Source organism: Homo sapiens, chromosome 7 (assembly GCF_000001405.40).
Source record: "Homo sapiens chromosome 7, GRCh38.p14 Primary Assembly".
Classification (NCBI taxonomy): domain Eukaryota; kingdom Metazoa; phylum Chordata; class Mammalia; order Primates; family Hominidae; genus Homo; species Homo sapiens.
In genome coordinates, this window is record NC_000007.14 from 21297656 (window position 1) to 21300805 (window position 3150).

Here is a 3150-nt window from a genome sequence, read left to right on the forward strand (position 1 = left end):
TTCAAACCATGATAAAGAACTGCAGTGTGGGTTGGGCGTGGTGGCTCATGCCTGTAATCCTAACATTTTGGGAGGCCAAGGCAGGTGGATCACCTGAGGTCAGGAGTTCGAGACCAGTCTGACCAACATGGAGAAACCCTGTCTCTACTAAAAATACGAAATTAACTGGGCATGGTGGCACATGCCTGTAATCCCAGCTACTCGGGATGCTGAGGCAGGAGAACCGCTTGAACCCGGGAGGGGAAGGTTGCAGTGAGCCAGTCTGGGCAATAAGTGTGAAACTCCATCGCAAAAAAAAAAAAAAAAAAAAAAAAAGAGCTGTGGTGTGAATGTGTGAATGTCAAAGGGAAGAACATTCTGGTGAAAAGGTATAGCATGGGTGAAAGCCCAAAGGAGGGAATGGGCAGAGTTCGTTGGAGAAACACAAGTAAGACCAGTGTGTTAATCTTAATAACGTGCCTTTCTATAAGATTTTTAAGAGAAATTTTACTATATGCAGTTTTAGACTGAACTTAGACCCCACACCTTCCGAACGATGTACCTCTTATTCGCTAATTAGAGAAAGGAAAGCAATGGAATCACTTTTGTCCCAGTGGGTAAGCAAGGGCTCATGGTGATGAATGTGAAGTTGAATTTGCCCACATTTAAGAACTCAGTACCCAACACCAAGGTTTATAGCAACATTTAGCATTCATTTCACGTAGTTGCCTTTGTTAGCTTTTAAGTCAAGAACAGTTGGCAGGAAAATTCCCCCTTTTTTGTCTTAGTAAAACTTAGATCTCCATCAAGTTTCTCTTTTATGAGGCAGAACAAGGTGTGGACAAACCAGGCTGCTGCTGCACCCTTCCATTCATGAAGCCAGACTTACCTATATGAGTCTCAGCATCACTCCAGAAATTAAAACAAATAGAATGCCATTAGCCCAATGACCTGCCAGCATTTCAGTTTAGGATCTAATGTAAGATTCTCAGTAGAAAACTAAATATTAGGATATAAATGGGACACCAAAATTAAGCACTAGTCTGCTTTAGTGCTTGAGGTCTACTAGGGAGATATGGACCAAAAACACAGACACCCCTGGAGCCATGGAATGTTAAAAAGCACCCCAAATTCCAGCCATTGCTCTTATGACCAAAGAAGCCAAGGGACCAGTCTTACAGTTTTTGCATACATGTATTTTAACTAATTAGCAACATGTTTCCAGGGTTCTTGTTAAGTATAGATTCCTGGAACCAGCCTCTGCTCTACAGAGTTGGAATCTCCAGGGAAGAGCCCTGGGAATCCCTCTTTTAAGTAACTGTTCTACTTCATTCTTATCAAGCAAGTTTGATTACACCGACTTAGTTCTTTTGAACTGTTTGCCAGCAATCCCTACCTGCTATCATAAAACTGGCCAGCCACCAGGGATACCACTGCGGCAGGATTTCCCAGAATTCTTGATAAGAATCACCTATTTAATTAAATACAGACTCCCGGGTCCAATCCTACCAGCTGGATTAGGATTTTCAGGAAAGAAACCTGGACTCTACCTTTTAGTGACACCTTTGTCATTCCTACCACCAGGCAAGTGCTAGAAACCCTGAAACAAATTATACTTGAATCAAATAGTAAACAAAGTCAGTGAAGCTGAATATAAACAATTTTGTAATTCTGAGCTTTCCACATATGGTTCCAATAAATCACATCATCAGACGGAGGCATTCTATGCTTCCATTTACATAAAGCACAAAACAACCAAAGCTAAAGTGTGCTGTTAAAAATTCAGAAAGTGATTAGCCTTGGGGGCTTGGTGATTGGAAAGAGACAGTAGGGGGCTTTTTCGGGAACTGTAAATGTTCCCTTTGTTTATCTAGCATTGGTTTAACAGGTATGTTCTGTTTGCAGAACTTCATCAAATTACATATGTTTATGTGTATATATTTAATGTATAGCATGTGTGTATATATACATAGCTGTATATGTACATATATATACTTATACATCAATAGAAATGTTTTTCAGAAAGATTTAAAGGTGGAGGCATTATAAAGTTTAGTTGAAAAATAAGGAAACACATATATGCCAAGAGTGGCTCCTAAATCAGCATTTTTATCAATATTAAAGATATTCAACCCAAATAAATGTGGATTTAAGATTATGTGTTTTACCCCTGGAAAAATAGAATGCCTGCTCTAAGCCCTGAGGATTCCTGTTTCTGGGAGATAAGGTTTTCCTAAAGTTCAAGTTTGATATCAATCTTTGTATTGTTTTAAGTATAGAAAAAAAATTCACGAATTTGGACGCAGAAGCAAAATCTCTACCTCTGAATTTGGGGCACCAGATGGCCGAACACCATTTATTTATTTTTAGCCTCTTGTGAAAAAATTAGTGCCCAACAACTGAATGAACTACTTTTTTTTTAATTTTCCACAAAAATTTAAATTTATTTTTAAATCGCCGAATTAAAACAATGCAAATACAATTTTGGAATACAAAAAGATATAAAATCTTAAAACTATATAATTATTAAGATTTTTGACTATTTTACATTTTAAAAGACGTATGTTTTTACCTGGCATATTAACTATAATTACTAATTTGTGTCCTGCTTTTTAAACTTAATATATAATATAATTTGCTTATTTAATTATGCTTATGGTTTATTTTGTGCACCCCTCCTTCAACTAGAATATAAGTGTTACAAAGATAGGACAAAGGTTCATGCTTATTTTGTTCCGTGATATCTTTCAAGTGCTTACAACAATACCTGGTACATTTAGGTGCCCAGCAAATATTTTTTGTGGATTAAATGTTGAGCATATTATATATGTATGTATATAGTAAATGTTGAGCATATTATGCATAAAAGGATATATGTGTGTATATAAAAAGATATAAATGTATATATATATACACATACATATATATCTTTTTATATATCTTTTTCTATTGCTATAGTTTTCCAACTTTTCTTTCAAATAAATTTTATTCTTCACTCTTGAGAAGAGTAATCCTGGAAAAAAAATATTCCTACTCAATGTTCTACATTTAACATTTCACAAGACCATCTTATCTTTAATACTTTTTAAGTCAGAAACTGGTTGCAAATTCGAATGCTTCTAAGCTTAGCCAGTTAAATAAGTGATCATCTGGGGTGTGAAAGAGGGTTGC